The sequence below is a fragment of the Homo sapiens genome, chromosome 3 (assembly GCF_000001405.40).
Source record: "Homo sapiens chromosome 3, GRCh38.p14 Primary Assembly".
Classification (NCBI taxonomy): Eukaryota; Metazoa; Chordata; class Mammalia; order Primates; family Hominidae; genus Homo; species Homo sapiens.
In genome coordinates this window covers 12539776-12558758 of record NC_000003.12, presented here as the reverse complement: position 1 = coordinate 12558758, position 18983 = coordinate 12539776, and the positions used below count along the sequence as shown (strand labels likewise).

Sequence of the window (18983 nt, the reverse complement as noted above, 5' to 3'; positions counted from 1 at the left end):
TACAGAACACCCCTGTTTGGGAAACAGAATTAAAGCTTTCAAGTCAAGCTATCTCCAGGTATACAAGGAAAAAACCAAGATGATCCTGATTTAGGTCCTTGTGCCTCTACTAAGGTGTAAAATTTTAGGCAAATTTCAAGTCTTTCTGAGCATAAGATTCCTTATTTGTAAAATAAGATACTACAGAGTTGAGATTCAATTATAAAGCATTATTACATAAATGTGTACTGTTTTGTGGACACTTCTTAGATGAGGTACGGGAATAAATGGTAGAATTAAACCATAGAGCGAGGGGAGGAATACAGAGGTTTTTCTAGGAGGCTACAAGCTGCTTTACAGTGCACAATGACCTAGGAATACTTCCTCCAGCAGGAGAAACTTTATACAAATAAAAATACGTAAACACACACAAACCCGTCTTCACAAAACACCTTCTAGTACAAATAACCTAGTAAAAGTCTTTTTATAGACACTAGGTGCAAATTTCTGACAACAGCTTAACATAAGCCACCTGGGCCTTGGATAAATTGAACAGTAAATGTACACTAATGCTAACAGAAAACTTACTACACAGTCACGTCTCAACTATTCATACCAATGAAGAGAAGTAACAACATAGAAAATAAACTGTTTATTACACAAACTCTATAACTGTTTTTAAGCAATGTTTCCCATAAAAATTATTAAATGAAATTTGCATTTTCCAAGCATACAATTCAATTTGCGTTTTCCAAACATACAATTCAATAGGACTAGACTCCATTACCAGTAAGCCACAAGCTGACCAAGCAATGAGGGTGTTACACAACCACACTATTCTATTTCATAGGAGCAGTCGTAGTGTAGCTATCTGGCTATTTTCTACAATAAACCATCCATTACCGTCGCATTTCTCCTCGTAAATGGCTCTCTCAGTAAGATAAATGAGTGTCAACGTCTTTCGGTCTCAGTTTCCTGCACTGTAAAATGGTAATAATAACTACTAAGTTGTCTTACTGTGAAGTCTGATGATAATGAATATAAAGGACTTGGAAATATGCAGGGCGCTTCGCCGATATTCACAATATGCTACCTGTCGTTATTTTCCACACAACAACTTTTACTTGTTAACTCTCTGCAAGTTTAGATTGCATCTGGATTCTCCAAACTTTGAGGCCCTCATAATCGATTAACAAATTACTCCTATGTGGTATCCCCATTTGTAACCGTCCTCTCGGCGTCCCTTTACTCAACTTCAAATCTTTTCCAGTTAAAGCGTAAGCCCCAGAGCCTTCCCGACAGCGCCCCGGCATCCTGCACGGCCCTGGCTAGGACGTCCTTCCTCCCAGCCCACAGGGGCCACGCTTCAAACTCGGGGCGTAGCCCCCCGCGCTGGCCTCGCCCAGCGTCTCGGCCACGCATCCCCCGGATCCCCGGCTGTGGCGGCAGCGCTCGCTCTGCCTCGCAAAGCCCCGCCGCGAACAGCCGAGTAACTTTCCGAGTCCCGCTCTAGCCTCAGGTTCCCGGACCACAGCACTGGCGCGCACCGGCCCCCCTGCGGCCTGGGGGAGCGGCCCGAAGCTCCTGGCTCCAGCGCACTGACCTGCAAGTGATCTGCTTGGTGCTCATGGTGGCTGGGCTGAGGGACCGTCGTCGTGCCGCCGCCTCTCGCAGCCGCTGCCGCCTCGGCCTTGGCCCTGGCCCGGCCCATCCCGCGTAGCCGCGTCACGCCGGCGCACGCCGGCGCACGCCGCCCCTCCGGTGTGGCACCTTTGTAGCGCCGGCGGGTAACCTAGCCGTCGTCACAATTGGTTCCGCACCGGGGATCGGGCCGGCTGTCCCGGCATCCCTGCTCTCGGTGTCCCGCACTTCCAAGCCTCCGGGGCGGAGCCTGGCTGGCATCTTAGTCCTGCCAGTCTTATCCCGATGCCTACTGTTAGTGCCTGCGATTCTGCCCCGATCGCCAAGAGTATTCCTTAGGGATCTCCCGCCTCCTTCGAGGCACTTCACCACTCCTGGGGAAACTCCAGCCTCTCCTCTTAATCCCGGATGCCCCTATCCATTCATACTCGCACTCACTGGGCACCCTTCTCAGGCCCTGCCTCAACTGTTCCCGCCGGACCTCGCCTCCCACTTAAGGAAATTCCTTAGCTCTCTCCCAACTGCTCTTTCCCCAAATCTCTACTTCCACAAGTTTTAGTCTTCATTTTCTTTCCTGCCAGTCTTGTGCTGCTCGTCTTCCATTTCCTATGGTGGAAACCCCAAAAGTTATTTTTGACACTTCCCTCTAGCTCTCTATACCCTGCAGATTCTGCTCCCACACCTCTGTCCAATGCGTCCTCTTCTGCCCCCTTTCCACCGTCCCTTCTACCTAGCACCATGCGATACCTTTTTTTTTAATTATTATTATTTTATTTTTTATTTTTTTGAGACGGAGTTTCTCTCTTGTTGCCCAGGCTGGAGTGCAGTGGGGCGATCTCGGCTCACTGCAACCTCCGCCTCCCGGGTTCAAGCGATTCTCCTGCCTCTCAGCCTTCCACGTAGCTGGAATTACAGGCGTGCACGCCTGGCCAGCCATGCGATAGCCTTTTAACTGGTCTTCTGGCTTCCGTTCCTGGTAAAAATCTATTTTTAAAACATAAATCGGATCATGTCATTCACCTTTTAATCTTACAATGGTTTCTCATTGCTTAAAAACTCGAGATACATAACATGCACAATATAAGTGCACCAAACACATTCTATGAATTTTTGCACATGCATACACTCATGAAACTACCACCCAGATCAAAATAAAGAATTTTTTGTTTTGTTTTGAGGCAGGGTCTTGCTCTGTCGCCCAGGCTGGAGTGCAGTGGCGCCATCATAGTTCAAGCAGTCCTCTGCCTTAACCTCCCCAGCAGCTGGGAATACAGGTGCGCGACACCATGCTCGACTAAACTTCAAAATGCTGGAGTAAGGAGAGGTTGAGCCGGAAGGATCCTTTGAGCATAGTTCACTGCAGTCGAGGCTGCAGGGGGTGGGTGGGGGCTGGATATTATCGACACCCCAGAAGGGCTTCCTTATGGTCCTTCCCAGGCAATACTTTACAAAGGTCATTGCTTGGGTTCATCTCTATCACTATAAATTAGTTTAACTGTTCTTGACTTTCATATAAATAATAATTCAGTACCTACGCTTTTGTCTGCCTTCTTTTGACCAACATTTTATCTGTGAGATCTTTCCATGTTATGTATGTATAGCTGTATGTTCTTTTTTTACTTTGCTATAAAAATATTGAGTCTTCCAATGAATGAGCATGGTATATACTTCCAATTATTTAGAACTTTTGAAATTTTTCTCAGGAATTTGGAAGTATACTGGAAATTTTGTTTTCAGTGTCTTGAATATTGCATTTTAACTCATAACACATTTGATCCATGCAATTCATGCTCATAAAAATTACACGTCTTTTTTTTTTTTTTTTTTGAGACGGAGTCTTGCTCTGTCACCCAGGCTGGAGTGCAGTGGCATGCTCTTGGCTCACTGCAACCTCCACCTCCCGTGTTCAAGCGATTCTCCTGTCTCAGCCTCCGGAGTAGCTGGGATTATACAGGCGCACGCTGCCACGCCCAGCTGATTTTTTGTGTTTTAGTAGCGACGGGGTTTCACCCTGTTGCCCAGGCTGGTCTCGAACTTCTGAGCTCAGGCAATCCACCCGCCTCGGCCTCCCAAAGTGCTGGGATTACGGGCGAGAGCCACCGCGCCCAGCCCATGCCACTTATTTTTAAAATTCAGCTTATCTCATTCTTTATGGAATACATTCACGATCTGAACGTTATTATGTTCAAATATTTTAAAAGCGTAAAGTGAAAAGTCTCAGTCTCCTGTCAATTTAGTTCCCGCCTCTTCAAAACAAAAAGCAGAAACATTTTTTAAAACCTCAAAACCTGGCCACTGTTATCAAATTTGTATACATCTTTCCAGAATTTCTTTAAATATACACAAGTAAATACATATATATTATTTTCTCCTTTTTGTAGAAAAGATAACATAACGTACTGTTCTGCACAGCGTACATAATCAGTGGAGATTTTTCCATATCAGTACATAGAGCCTCTTCCTCCTTTCGTAGAACTGTATAGTATTCCGTTGTACGACTATGCCATAAGTTATTTCATCAGCCTTGTACTGCTGGTGCCCTTTAGGGTGTCTGTGCAAATAAAACACTGGATCGGGCACATGTTCTCAGGATCTCCTGAGGTCTGTGTCATGGGCAATATATATATATATTTTTATATTTCATATATATTTCATATATTTCATATATATTTATGAAAAAATAATACAACACTGGATCAACGACAGCCAGTGTGCACTTCCACAAGCTGTACCCAACAGCTTGGTTCCTGCCACTGTCATGGTACTTAGCACTTAGACTTTTCCCGAAGGATGCAAGCAGTCTCCACTTGGGGTTCTTCCGGCGTTATCTGGCGCTGGGCACTAAACACCAAGTCCTGCCCCACCCGGGACGTGGAACTCACTTTCCTCACCCCCAGGGAACCCGCGCTGGCAGAGAAGGCAGGGCCACTCGCTCCTGCCCGTAGCAGGGGCGCGTAAAACTGCGTCTGCTTGCTAACCACCAGCTCCCGTTCTCGCCCCTTAGGAAAAGCAACTTTGCTACCAAACACTCGGGAGAAAAAGGCTATCAGATAGAAGCGGGTGAAGAAGCTGAGAAAACAGAAGAGAAGGGTGGCTGCCAGCTCGGGACTCAAAATGGCCATCTGGGCGTAGAGACACAGAGACCCTTTGCGCAGACGTGCGCCGAGGGTCTTGCAAAGCTTTCGTTTTCTTTGTGTGCCGACCTGCCCCTAGAAGCGGTTTTCGATGCTATTTTAAATGATATTCCTAAAATTTCCGAATTGCTTGTTGCTTATATATAGAAATACACTGGATCTTTGTATACTGACTTGGGATTCAGCTCCATGCTAAATTTTGAATTAATTCTAATGGTTTATTTGTAGTTAGTTATCGATTTTCTATACACAATCACGCCATCAGCAAATAATGACAGTTTTGCTTCCTTTTCATCTTTGTATCTTTTATTTCTTTTCCTTGCCTTATTGCATGCACTGTCTACAGCCTTCAGAACAATGTTAAAGAGAAGTAGTAATAGTGTACATCTTATTTTGTTCCTGGATTCAATAAAAATATTTAATATTTTACTTTAAAATTATTTAATATTTTAATTAAAATGTTAGCCCTAGATTTTTTTAGGCTATCCATTGCCAAATTAAGAAAGTTTCTTTCTAGTTTTATTAGCATTTTTACCATGAACACATCTTGACTTTTATCACTTTTTTTTTTGCATGTATTGAGAAACCTATATTGTTTTTCCCTTTTATACTGGTAATGTATTGAATTATACTGATTGATTTTTAATGTTAACCCTACCCAATTGCTCAGGATAAACCCCACATGGCCATGATATATTTTCTATAAATCATCTATTTGTTAAAATTGTGTTTAGAATTTTTGCATCCTTGTGTATGAGAGATATTAGTCTGTAGTGTTCCTTTCTTATAATGTCCATGCCAGGTGCTGGTATCTGGGATATGCTGGTCTCATAAAATGAGTTTGGAAGTCTTTCTTTTCTATCCTCTGGAAAAGTCTGTGTAATATGGGTATTAATTTTTCCCTTAAACATCTGGAAGAATTTACCATGGAAGCCATCTCAGCCTGCAGTTTACTGTGCAGGAAGATTTTTTTTTTTTTTTTTTTTTTGGAGACCGGGTCTCACTTTGTCACCCAGGCTGGAGTGCCGTGGTGTGATCTTGGCTCACTGCAACCTCCACCTCCTGGTTTCAGCCCCTCAAGTAGCTGGGGCTACAGGTGTGCGCCAGGCATGCTCCACCACTCCTGGCCAATTTTTGTATTTTTTGTAGACAGGAGATCTCACTATGTTGCCCAGGCTGGTTTCAAACTCCTGAGCTCAAGAAATTTGCTCACCTTGGCCTCCCAAAGTGCTAGGATTACAGGCATGAGCCACCATGCCCAGCCTGCAGGATGATTTTTAATTAAAGATTTAAATGTGGGGCATGGTGGCTCACACCTGTAATCCTAGCACTTTGGGAGGCCCAGGTGAGCAAATCACCTGAGGTCAGGAGTTCAAGACCAACCTGGCCAACATGGAGAAACCCCGACCCTACTAAAGATACAAAATTATTCAGGTGTGGTGGTGCATGCCTGTAATCCCAGCTACTCGGGAGGCTGAGGCAGGAGAATCGCTTGAACCCGGGAGGCAGAGGTTTTGGTGAGCTGAGATGGCGCCATTGCACTCCAGCCTGGACGACAGAGTGAGACTCCGTCTTAAAAAAAAAAAAAAATTAAAAATTAAAAAAAATTAAAATATCTAATTGCTTTCTTATATATAAAGCTATTCAGATTTCATTGTTTTATGGGAGTTTTGGAAAGCTTTTTTTTTTGAGATGGTCTTGTTCTGTTGTTCAGGCTGAAGTGCAGCGGCACGATCTCAGCTCACTGCAACCTCCGCCTCCAGGGTTCAAGCAATTCTCTGCTTCAGCCTTCCAAGTAGCTGGGATTACAGGCGCCCACCACCCCGCCCAGCTAATTTTTTGTATTTTTAGTAGAGACAGGGTTTCACTATCTTGGCCAGGCTGGTCTTGAACTCCTGACTTGGTGATTCACCTGCCTCGGCCTCCCAAAGTGCTGGGATTACAGGCGTGAGCCACCGTGCCCAGCCTTCTTTGTTTTTTGTATCGGAGCATTTAGTCCATTTACACTAAATGTAATATAGCTGGATTTAAATGTATCATCTTGATTTTTTTTTCTTTTTTCTGAGACAGAGTCTCACTCTGTCTCCCAGGCTGGAGTGCAATGGTGTGATCTCAACTCTGCAACCTCCACCTCCCGGGTTCAAGCGAATCTCCTGCCTCAGTCTCTGGAATAGCTGGGACTACAGCCATGTGCCAACACGCCAGGATAATTTTTGTGTTTTTGTATTTTTAGTAGAGACGGGGTTTCACCATATTGGCCAGGCTGGTCTCGAACTCCTGACCTCAGGTGATCTGCCCAACTTGGCCTCCCAAAGTGCTGGGATTACAGGTGTGACCCACTATGCCTGGCCTTGATTTTTTTTCTTAATAAATCCTTCATTGAAATATGTTTATTTTCTATTCACATAATCTGTTATTTGTTCTTTATTTATCCTTTCGTGTATTCCTTTGGATTATTTTCCATTATTCTACAGTTTTTTCTTTATTGGTAATACACTTTTTTTTTTTTTGAGATGGAGTCTTGCTCTGTTGCCCAGGCTGGAGTGCAGAGGCACAATCTTGGCTCACCACAGCCTTCGCCTCCCAGGTTTAAGTGATTCTCCTGCCTCAGCCTCCCGAGTAGCTGGAACCACAGGTGCGTACCATCACACCCGGGCTAATTTTTGTGTTTTTTGTAGAGATGAGGTTTCACCATTTTGGCCAGGCTGGTCTCAAAACTCCTGGCCTCAAGTGATCCACCCACCTCAGCCTCCCAAAGTGCTGGGATTACAGGCGTGAGCCATTGTGCCCGGGCTTTTTTTTTTTTTTTTAATAAAGTGTAATGACAGAGGGGTGGTGGTGCTCATTTTGTGGGTCTTGGCCACTTGCTGTCAGGGCAGGAGGGTGGCTCCTTGGGTTGGTGAAAGCGGTATGTAACCAAGTCCAAAGGAGACAGGGGCAGGATTTTGCCTCTGTCATGTCCCACCGATGGGTGGATTCCTATGCAATCTGAAAGAATGAACTAGACCTGTATTACTGATACTGTAAAGAAACTGGTTATTTTACCAAAGCTTTGACTGGAATGGTACACTTTCCTTTAAGGAATCAAATGGATATGTACCCACTAGGGAATGTATTCGAGTCACACAGCAAACTATGTTAGTAGAGGAAGTTATCTGAGTTACCCAACACATATAACCCAACATAACAAAATATGTTACCGGTGGCAGGTGTCCGAGTTACCGGCAGTGAATCCGTACCGGCCTGCAGCAACCTCAATTCTTGCCTCCTCAGAAGAAAGAATTCGACTGAGGGGCATAAGGCAGAAAAAGAGACTGAGGCAAGTTTTACAGCAGCAGTGAAAGTTTATTAAAAAGCTTCAGAGCAGGAATGAAAAGAAAGTAAAATATACTTGGAAGAGGGCCAAGTGGGCATTTTGGAGGACAAGTGCCTGGCTAGGTTTTAAAAATTTTTTTGTAGAGATGGGGTCTTGCTATTTTGCCCAGGCTTACTCTATGGGTTTTGACAAATGTATAATGACATATTACAGTAGTTTCACCGCCCTAAAAATTCTCTGTACTCTGCCTATTTATCCCTCCCTTCCGTCAACCACTGATCTTTTTCCTGTCTCAGCAGTTTTGCCTTTTCCACAGTTTCATATAGTTGGGAGTCATACCGTATACAGCCTTTTTAGATTGGCTTCTTCCACTCAGTGATATGCATTTAAGTTTCCTCCATGTCTTTCATGGCTTGGTATCTTGCTTCTTTTTGGCACTGAACAATAGTCCCTTGTCTGGATGTACCAGTTTTTCCATTCGCCTGCTGAGGGACATCTTGGTTGCTTCCAAGTATTAGCAATTATGAATGAAGCTGCTGTAAACGTCTATGTGCAGGTTTTTGTGTGGACGTAGGTTTTCATTCATTTGGGTAAATACCAAAGAGCACAATTTCTGGGTCATATTGTAAGAGTTTGTTGAGTTTTGTAATAAACTGGCAGACTATTTTCCAAATCACTATACCATTTTGCATTCCCACCAGCAATGAGAGTTCCTGTTGCTCCACATCCTCTCCAGTATTTGGTATTCTCAGTGTTTTGGATTTTAGCCATTCTACTAGGTGAGAGTTCATCACTAGAAAACTTGCCCTATAAGAAATACTAAAAGGAGTTCTTCAAGCCAAAATTACAGGGCGCTACCTATAATCCCAGCATTTTGTGAGCCTGATGTAGGAGGATCACTTGAGTCCAGGAGTTCAAGACAAGCCTGGGCAACATAACAAGACCCTGTCTCTATAAAAATTAAAATTAAAATATTAGCCAGCTGTGGTGTTATGCATCTGTAGTTCCAGCTGATTGGGAGGCTGAAGTGGGAGGATCCCTTGAGCCCAGAAGTTTGAGGCTGCAATGAGCACTGATTGCACCACTGCACTCCAACGTGGGTGACAGAGCAAGACCCTGTCTCAAAAAATAAAATAAAACAAAACAGGCTGGGTGTGGTGGCTCACAACTGTAATACCAGCACTTTGGGAGGCTGAGGTGGCTGGATCACTTGAGGTCAGGAGTTTGAGACCAGCCTGGCCAACATGGTGAAACCCCATATCTACTAAAAATACAAAATTAGACAGGTGCAGTGGTGCATACCTGTAATCCAAGTTACTTGGGAGGCTAAGGCAGGAGAACCGCTTGAACCCAGGAGATGGAGGCTGCAGTGAGCTGAGATTCCAGCCTGGGAAATGGAGCAAGACTCCATCTCATAAACAAACAAACAAACAAATAAATAACATAGGCCAGGTGTGGTGGCTCACTTCTGTAATCCCAGCACTTTGGGAGGCCGAGGTGGGCAGATCACAAGGTCAGGAGTTCAAGACCAGCCTGGCCAACTCTATTAGAATATAGAAACCCCATCTCTATTAAAAATACAAAAAATTAGTCAGGTGTGATGGTGGGTGCCTGTAGTCTCAGCTACTTGGGAGGCTGAGGCAAAGGGATCGCTTCAACCTGGGAGGTGGAGGTTGCAGTGAGGCAAGATCACGCCACTGCACTCCAGCCTAGGCGACAGAGTGAGATTCCGTCTCAAATAAAATAAAATAAAAAATAAAATGCCTTTAAAAATCTTTTAAAAACTACAATTTATGTAGTTTTCTGTGTCTATGTTTTATTTTATAACAAGATTAAGATAGAGAAAAGGTAAAAAAGGATTGAAGATGCTTGTGTTGAAAAAAAATGCTGGTATATTTAAAATGTTTATTAAAGCATGGTGCCTCAATCCCTTTTCATGAGATTAACAATACCTCTTGGTGTTGGTGTCAGAAAGATTATATTCTCAATTTAAAGTGGCTTGGGTCACTGAAGCAACCTAACAAACAATACCATGTGGTTTATTTATGTATTTATTTGAGACAGAGTTTCGCTCTGGAGCCCAGGCTGGAGTGCAATGGTGCAGTCACAGCTCACTGCAACCTCCGCCTCCTGGGTTCAAGCGATTCTCCTGTCTCAGCCTCCCAAGTAGGTGGGACTACAGATGTCTGCCACCACGCTCGGCTGGTTTTTTTTTTTTTTTTTTTTTTTTTTTTTTTTTTTGAGACGGAGTCTCGCTCTGTCGCCCAGGCTGGAGTGCAGTGGCGCGATCTCGGCTCACTGCAAGCTCCGCCTCCCGGGTTCACGCCATTCTCCTGCCTCAGCCTCCCGAGTAGCTGGGACTGCAGACACCCGCCACCGTGCCCGGCTAATTTTTTGTATTTTTAGTACAGACGAGGTTTCACCGTGTCAGCCAGGATGGTCTCGATCTCCTGACCTCGTGATCCACCCGCCTCGGCCTCCCAAAGTGCTGGGGTTACAGGCGTGAGCCACCGCGCCCGACCGGCTAATTATTGTAATTTTAGTAGAGACGGGGTTTCACCATATTGGTCAGGATGGTCTTGAACTCCCGACCTCAGGTGATTAACCTGCCTTGGCCTCCCAAAGTGCTGGGATTTCAGGCGTGAGCCACTGCGCCCGGCCGTACCATGTGGTTTGTATTAATAATGAACAATCTCAGGTCTTTGTCACCTGAGCTGAGTGTCTAGCTATAACCTCTCTGCCTTCACTGTAACAAGAGAAGGTTGGTTGAAATGATTTCTGAGGTCCTTTCTAGTTCTGTGAGTCTGATGATCATTCTCATGTTATAACACTGGAGATGCACTTTTCTGCATTTCAGCATACTGTAATTTATTTAAATGTACATTGTGAAATACTTAACCCTCCTGAAGTGCCTTTACCTGCCATGACACCTTCTCTGTGGGTCTCCCCCTTAAGACTGCTTATCTTTGGAATTACAGGCATCAATTAGGCCTTGGTTAAAGTGTAGTACAACCAAAATGTGGGTTCCCATGAAATCTGAAATGAACTAGACCTGTATCACTGATATTGTGGAAAAGTTTCCAAGATGAGGCAAAAACACAAATTTCAAAACAGTATACAATATAACAATATTGAGGGTTTTTGTTTTGTTCTGTTTTTCTCTTGTCACCCAAGCTGGGTACAGTGGTGTGATAATGGCTCACTGCAGCCAAGACCTCATGGGCTCAAGCAGTCCTCCCACCTCAGCCTCCCAAGTAGCTGGGACTACAGGTACACACCACCAAATCTGGCTAATTTTTGTATTTTTTGTAGAGATGAAGTCTTGTCATGTTGCCCAGGCTGGTCTTGAACTCCTGGGCTCAAGCGATCCACCTGCCTCAGCCTCCCAAAGTGCTGGGATTATAGGTGTGAGCCACCATGCCCAGCCAATATTGAGCTTTAAAAGAATCTAACATACCATTAATTTTCTCCAGAAAGTAGAATATGGTGGGTGGAAATGTTATGTGAGAAACAAGGGGCATTACTTTTTTTCCAAATATTTTTATGGAATTGCTTATTTTATTTATTTATTTATTTATTTAGAGACAGGGTCCCACTCTGTCGCCCAGGCTAGAGCACAGTGGGATGATCTTGGCTCAAGGCACCCTCGACCTTCCAGGCTCAAGCACTCCTCCCATCTCAGCCACCTGAGTAACTGGGACTACAGGCGTGCACCAGCACACCTAGCTAAAAATTATTTTTAAATTGTACACCCCATCTACCCTGATGTGATTATTGCACATTGTATGCCTGTATCAAAATATCCCATGTAGGCTGGGTGCGGTGGCTCACGCCTGTAATCCCAGCACTTTGGGAGGCTGAGGCAGCAGGATCACCTGAGGTCAGGAGTTTGAGACCAGCCTGGCCGACATGGTGAAACCCCATCTCTACTAAAAGTACAAAAATTAGCTGGGTGTGGTGGCGGGCACCTGTAATCCCAGCTACTCAGGAGGCTGAGGCAGAATTACTTGAACCCAGGAGGCGGAGGTTGCAGTGAGCCGAGATCACACCACTGCACTCCAGCCTGGCGACAAGAGTGAGACTCTGTCTCAAAAAAAAAAAAAAAAAAAAAAATCCCATGTACCCTTTAAATATATACACCCATTATGTACCCACAAAAATAAGAAAATTAAAAAATTATTTTAAAATTGAAAAATTATATACTGCATATAATAAAATGCACAGCTTGATGATTTTTCACAAATGGAATACTCCCATATTATTAACACCCAGATGAGTCACAACAGCCCTGGACCCGAGAAACCACCTCTGTCCTCTCCCAGTCAGTATCTCCCTCCTGTAACCGCTATCCTTATTTCTAACAGGGCTGTTAACTTTTTAAAAAAATCCCCAGAACATTCTGGATGTTAATTTTTTTATAAGCAAAATTACTTTTATAATATAAAATGTCAAAATAAAATAGCCTTAAATAAGGATTTATTTATGCAACAACAAATGATCTAACCAATTCTGGGAACACAAAAGTAAAGGTCTCCAATTTCAAGAAGCTCACAGACTAACGGGAGAAACAAAACTAAATGATTAAATAACAGTTCTAGGCTTGGTGCAGTGGCTCATGCGTGTAATTCCAGCTCTTTGGGAGGCTGAGGAAGGCCTCTTCAAGTCCAGCCTGGCCAACATGGTGAAACCCCCATCTCTACCAAAAAACACAACAATTAGTTGGGTATAGTGGCGTGTGTCTGTAGTCCCAGCTACTCCGGGAGGCTGAGTGGGGAGAATCACTTGAACCTGAGGGTGGAGGTTGCAGTGAGCCAAGATCGTGCCACTGCACTCTAGCTTGGGTGACAGAGTGAGACCCTGTCTCTAAATAAATAAATAAGAGTTCTGACGGAAATATGAATCCAGCGCTGCCACTGCAAGGGAAGACTGGGGGAAGCTGACAAAACTTCCACAGAAAAGTGAGGCTTTAAAGGATGAATAGGAGCTGGCAGTTATCAGTTACCATAAACAATGGAAATAAACAAATAGAAACTAGCTCTTTAAGATACAGTCTATGGGGAGGCCTGGCTACTGGTTAATCCTATCTGGTTTGGCTTCTGAAGCCATCAGTCAGGATGACATCACCATTGATCAGGTTCCTTGGGGCGGTGTGCATTCGCCAGGTGTATAATGAGGAAAAGGAAGTCTCCGGAAACCTCCCCTAGCATTCCAGGAGGCGAAAGCTATGCACTGCGCAGAGGCTGGGAAGGCTTTAATTAAATTCAACCACTGTGAGAAATACATCTACAGCTTCAGTGTGCCCCAGTGCTGCCCTCTCTGCCAGCAGGACCTGGGCTCGAGGAAGCTGGAGGACGCACCTGTTAGCATCGCTAATCCATTTACTAATGGACATCAAGAAAAATGTTCATTCCTCCTCAGACCAACTCAGGGGACATTTCTTAGGTACAGTGTTTTTTACAGTGTTAAATTGCATTGTGCAAACTTTTCCTTCTGTTTTAGTCACTAAAGTTTCCTTTTCTTAATACATAATGTGTGAGGTTTGGTGGACAATTTTTTCGGTGCTTTGGCTTTAAATCCTGAGATGCAGTCCTACTGGCTTCATAAAAACAGATGGTGTGCATATGTTCCTGCAGTGACAAGTGCAAGAATATATGTGGAATATATGAAGAGTAAACCTGCTCATATGATTTTCAGAGAGAAAAATATGTGCTCAGAGGCTAACCAGGAAAATGACCCAGCAGCTAATCTTATCTAAATAATACCTTTACTGTCAGTTAATTTGTAGTTTCAGTGACAAACAGGTACAACCTACAGGGCCCGATGAACGGGCACTTGCAGACTATTTTGTATGGAGGCAAATTAAACTGAAGACTAGAACTGATCTATTTCCACTGTAGACACCACCTGGCTTTAAGAACAAATTCAGTTCTCTCTTGCTGAGAGCGCTAGCATAAACAAAAAGGATGAATTAGAAAGCAAAAGAAAGGATTATACCTTTTTTTTTTCCCCGAGACAGAGTTTCGCTCTTGTTGCCCAGGCTGGAGTGCAATGGTGTCTCAGCTTACTGCAACCTCCACCTCCCGGGTTCAAGCGATTTTCGGGAGCCTGCCTCAGGCTCCCGAGTAGCTGGGATTACAGGCGCCCACCACCACACCCGGCTAATTTTTGTATTTTTAGTAGAGACGGGGTTTCACCATGTTGGCCAGGCTGGGCTCAAATTCCTGACCTCAGGTGATCCACCTGCCTCAGCCTCCCAGAGTGGTGGGATTACAGGCATCAGCCACTGTGCCCCGCCAGGTTTATATTTTATTGTCCCCGTGGAGTTTACCAATAGGATTAGGATCGGCCCAGCATAAGCCAGGCTTTAGGTGAGCATGGGTCATAGAATGTTGGTGTATGCTTTAGGAAATATGTTCAGCTCCTGCGTATCATTAGTCTAATGCTCCCTAGAGTTTACCCTCCTAACTTCCTGTCCCCTCAAGAGTGCTGGTTTTGAATAAGAAAATGGGAGTTGACTACTCACCTTCCTGCCTACTAACTTCCTTAATTTCCTTCTGGTCCCTATGAGGATTAAATGAACCAAAGTATGTAAAAGGTTTTGGTCATACTGTTAGGTGCTAAATAGACAGCATCCCTGGGCCTTGCTCAGGGAGGCAGCCAACGCAGAAAGGACATTACAGGCTCTGGCGTCATAAAGCCCCTGATTCCTATCCTGGTTCTTTTAACCAGCTCCAGGTATCTCTGGTTCCTTATCTGTAAAACAAAGATTAAAACTGTTATTTTTTTTTTTTTTTTTGAGACCAGGGTCTTACTCTGTTGCCCAGGGTGGAGTGCAGTGGTGCAATCTCGGCTCACTGCCACCTCCGCCTCCCAGGTTCAAGCGATTCTCGTGTCTCAGTCATCCGAGTAGCTGGGATTACAGGTGCCCTCCACCATGCCCAGCTAATTTTTGTATTTTATTTTTTAGTAGAGACGAGGTTTCGCAATGTTTTCCAGGCTGGTCTCGAACTCCTGGCCTCAAAAGATCCTCCCACCTCAGCCTCCCAAAGTGCTGAGATTACAGGCGTGAGCCACTGCATCCAGCTGGCTCTATTTATTTTCTTGGACAGACTCTCGTTCTATCCCCCAGGGTGGAGTGCAGTGGTGCGATCATGGCTCACTGCAATCTCCACCTCCCGGGTTCAAGCTATTCTTGTGCCTCAACCTCCCGAGTAGCTGGGATCACAGATGCACACTAACACACCTGGCTAATTTTTGTATTTTTAGTAGAGATGGGGTCTTGCCATGTTGGCCAGGCTGGTCTCAAACTCCTGGCCTCAAGTGATCTGCCCGCCTTGGCCTCCCAAAGTGCTGGGATTACAGGTCTAAGCCACTGTGCTCGGCATCCTCCTACTTTAAATGCCAATTCTTCATGCCAAATACATGCAAACCAAAAAAAAACAAACCTTGTTTCTTTCAGAGAGTATGATGGAAGGTCTGATCTTCATGTTGGAATAACTAACACAAATGGTAAGTGCAGTTTTGTAGCTTAAAAAACCCCTACTACCCAGCAAAAGGAAAGCAGTATTTGTGGAGATTTGATTATGGCAACATCTAATAAGTGATTCCATTGTTCACTGGGTTCTTGTACTGCACCATGAGGTAGGCATTGCCCACAAATGAGAAATATTTGACTTTATGGCAAATTATCACTAACAATACAAAATATTTGAAAGCTCTTTAACGTTTTCTCAGTGAGGAGCCTCACAAACCTGTACATTTTTTATTGGTTTTTAAAAGAGGAAGAAATAGATGTCCAGTGAGATTGACTTGCCCAAGACCTCCCATCTTGTGTCTGAAGCAGAATTTGGAACCAGGCCCTCTGACTTCCAATCCTATGCTCAGCCGACTACCACTGGGTCCCCACATTCTAGGGACGTCAGGAGTAAAGCAGGATGTGGTGGGGCCTGCAGTGTTTTTTTTTTTTTTTTTTTTTTTAAGGAAAGTGAAGATTAAACAAAACTTCCTTTGGCCACCTATAGCTCTGAGGGCAGTGTGCAACCCTTCAGCCAGAAGCTTTCTTGTCTGCAGGAAAAGGTCCTGGGTGGAGCCACCTGCAGGATGTGTAGCCTGGATATGGTGAGGCAGGTGAGGCACCTACCCAGGCCTCACAGGTGAAGTCTAATAACAGCCTTTCCTTACCCGCTGAGGCAAGAGAAACTGATACTGTGATCAGAAACCCAGAACAGTTCTGGACTTAGTTACCCACAAGAACAGTCATACTTACCACTCATCTTTAGCAGGTGGAAATTTATTCCTGATTTAAGGAAACAAGATTGACCCATTGGTAAATAGAGAACTTCAATAAAAATATTGGAGATGATGATCCTGGTGCCTATCATTGTCTCTGTTTCCTGGGGGCAACTTCACAGCCCTCAACAGCAGGTAGAGCTAGAACTGGGTTTCTCTCAAGGAAATGATTGCTGATAACAGGGAAGGCTACAAAAATCCCTCCATGACTGTAGGCAAATCTAAATCTCATTAGGTGGATGGAAGATTCTAGAACCTCCACCCTGGATTTATGTTACGTAAAGTTACCACATGGCTACTGTCATTTTCTGATGTCTCTTTTTCACAGAGGTGTGTGTTTCCTTGGGGCTCCACATGACTTTGGTTTTGATTTGCAGGGGTTGTGTATAATTACAGTGCACATGGTGTCCAGCGAGACGGAGAAGGGTGGGAAGAGAGCATAAGCATCCCATTACTGCAGCCCAACATGTATGGAATGATGGAGCAATGGGACAAGTACCTGGAAGACTTCTCCACCTCGGGGGCCTGGCTGCCTCACAGGTACACGACTGCAAATGCTGCCCCCTCGCTGACACTCACATGCTATGCAAGTGGGATCCCCGTGTAGCCTCAGCTCACAGAGGACTCAGCAGCACTTAGCTTCATGTTGAGCCGATACAGACATATTAGCATCTCTAACAGAATTTAAACAGAGGTTGAACTACCCTAGGTTTTCTGCAGAGGTGGGTCAGCATACACATACAACAAAATCACAGCGTTGTAAGAGCTGAAAGGTCTAGAACCTGTATTCAGTTATTTTAGTTATGTGACAAGGTATTTTTACACATAAATAGCAAGTCACGATATTATATTTCCTTAAAAATTAAAAAAAACAATATTCAGGCTGGGCACAATGGCTCTCGCCTGTAATCCCAGCACTTTGGGAGACTGAGGCAGGTAGATCACCTGAGGTCAGAAGTTCGAGACCAGCCTGGACAACATGGTAAAACCCCGTCTCTATTAAAAATACAAAAATAGCCAGGCGTGGTGGTGGACGTCTGTAGTCCCTACTTGGGAGGCTTGGGCAGGAGAATCACTTGAACCAAGAGGCGGAGGTTGCAGTGAGCTGAAATCACACGATTGCACTCCAGCCTGGGCAAGAGAGTAAGACTTCGTCTCACCAAAAACAAAAAAACACAAAAACCAATGTTCAAAATGTAAAAGCTTCTTTTTTGTAATTTTAGCAATTTCCAGTTAATTTCTCACTCTCAACATTTTGTAAGACGTATAGCATGTTTGTGGATTTAAATTATTTGGAGGTTTCCCCCGAAATAAGTTTAGATACTATGGAATATCATAAAACTCATATGGAATTCCATCTCTAAACTCTAGAAGTTCAATAAGTTCCCCAAATTGGTAGTTAACTTGCAACTGAGTAACCACTCTGAACATCTGGGTGAGTCTATGCCAATCTGCAGCAAGCAGAAACGGCCCAAGAGACCAAGCATCCCCCAGAATTGCATTTTTTTTTTTTTTTTTTTTTGAGATGGAGTCTTACTCACTCTGTCACCCAGGCTGGAGTACAGTGGTGCGATCTTGGCTTACTGCAACCTCTGCCTCCCGCCGGTTCAAACAATTCTCCTGCCTCAGCCTCCCAAGTAGCTGGGACAACAGGCGTGCACCACCATGCCCAGCTAACTTGTATTTTTTGTAGGGACGGGGTTTCACCATGTTGGCCAGGCCAGTTTCGAACTCTTGACCTCAAGTGATCCTCCCACCCTCGCTTCCCAAAGTGCTGGGATTACAGGTGTGAGCCACCGCACCCGGCCTGAAGTGCACATCTTGAAGCTTCTTAACCACATAAGCCAGCACATGCAGGGGCCTTGCTTGCTGAGGCACCCGATTTCAGTTAGGAAAGGCCTTCAGTAGCTTGACAGCCTGTTCTGAGCAGCCTTTTCTTCTCAACACCCTTATTCTCCTCCATAAGGTATGAAGACAACCACCATAACTGCTACTCTTACGCACTCACGTTCATTAACTGCGTTCTGATGGCAGAAGGTAGACAGCAACTGGACAAGGGTGAATTTACGGAGAAGTACGTGGTCCCGCGGACAAGGCTGGCATCCAAGTTCATCACACTCTACCGGGCGATACGGGAGCATGGCTTCTACGTCACTGACTGTCCCCAGCAGCAGGCACAACCCCCTGAGGGCGGCGGTTTGTGCTGAGAGCTATGTAAGCGCAGCCTGGACGCTGGAGGGTAGGGTGGTTGCTACCTTTAATCAGTACTATGGATTTCTAAATGCATTTAACTGTGGTTAATAAAAGCGTGTATGGGCCGGGCATGGTGGCTCACACCTGTAATCCCAGCACTTTGGGAAGCTAAGACAGGTAGGTCACCTGAGGTTGGGAGTTTGAGACCAGCCTGACCAACATGGAGAAACCCCGTCCTTACTAAAAATATAAAATTAGCTGGGCATGGTGGCGCATGCCTGTAATCCCAACTACTAGGGAGGCTGAAGCAGGAGAATCGCTTGAACCCGGGAGGCGGAGGTTGGGATGAGTTGAGATCGTGCCATTGCACTCCAGCCTGGGCAACAAGAGTGAAACTCCATCTCAAAAAAATAAAAAATAAAAAATAAAAA

At 44.7% G+C, this 18983-nt stretch overlaps 2 protein-coding genes across 11 annotated transcripts in view, besides 5 other annotated features; one reads left to right on the top strand and one right to left on the bottom strand.

The window, feature by feature from the left end:
- Positions 1 to 1672, bottom strand: part of MKRN2 (makorin ring finger protein 2) — a 26627-nt gene extending 24955 nt beyond the window's left edge. For both annotated transcript variants that reach the window (NM_014160.5, NM_001271707.2), the window contains exon 1: positions 1583 to 1672. In NM_014160.5, the coding sequence (NP_054879.3) occupies positions 1583 to 1608 (26 nt within the window). In that variant the 5' untranslated portion in view covers positions 1609 to 1672. The remainder of the gene's footprint in view (positions 1 to 1582) is intronic.
- MKRN2OS (MKRN2 opposite strand) overlaps positions 1 to 18983 on the top strand; it is a 21224-nt gene extending 2241 nt beyond the window's left edge. Inside the window, exons 1-4 of one of the 9 annotated variants that reach the window (NM_001378009.1) lie at positions 13260 to 13512; positions 15530 to 15579; positions 16756 to 16899; positions 18326 to 18983. In NM_001378009.1, coding sequence (NP_001364938.1) covers positions 16826 to 16899; positions 18326 to 18566 — 315 coding nt within the window. In that variant the 5' untranslated portion in view covers positions 13260 to 13512; positions 15530 to 15579; positions 16756 to 16825 and the 3' untranslated portion in view covers positions 18567 to 18983. The other 8 variants (NM_001195279.2, NM_001378007.1, NM_001378011.1 and 5 more) reach the window with 8 other exon arrangements.
- Positions 922 to 1445: an enhancer, noted in NCBI's record as "NANOG-H3K27ac-H3K4me1 hESC enhancer chr3:12598813-12599336 (GRCh37/hg19 assembly coordinates)". NCBI's record gives its function as "activates a minimal SCP1, AML or CMV promoter by ChIP-STARR-seq in naive H9 embryonic stem cells {active_cell/tissue: H9 hESC(naive)}" and the evidence as "EXISTENCE:reporter gene assay evidence [ECO:0000049][PMID:30033119]".
- Positions 953 to 1012: an enhancer, noted in NCBI's record as "active region_19444". NCBI's record gives its function as "activates an Ori minimal core promoter by ATAC-STARR-seq in GM12878 lymphoblastoid cells {active_cell/tissue: GM12878}" and the evidence as "EXISTENCE:reporter gene assay evidence [ECO:0000049][PMID:35858748]".
- Positions 1573 to 1662: a silencer, noted in NCBI's record as "silent region_14065". NCBI's record gives its function as "represses an Ori minimal core promoter by ATAC-STARR-seq in GM12878 lymphoblastoid cells {active_cell/tissue: GM12878}" and the evidence as "EXISTENCE:reporter gene assay evidence [ECO:0000049][PMID:35858748]".
- Positions 1833 to 1892: an enhancer, noted in NCBI's record as "active region_19443". NCBI's record gives its function as "activates an Ori minimal core promoter by ATAC-STARR-seq in GM12878 lymphoblastoid cells {active_cell/tissue: GM12878}" and the evidence as "EXISTENCE:reporter gene assay evidence [ECO:0000049][PMID:35858748]".
- Positions 1943 to 2052: an enhancer, noted in NCBI's record as "active region_19442". NCBI's record gives its function as "activates an Ori minimal core promoter by ATAC-STARR-seq in GM12878 lymphoblastoid cells {active_cell/tissue: GM12878}" and the evidence as "EXISTENCE:reporter gene assay evidence [ECO:0000049][PMID:35858748]".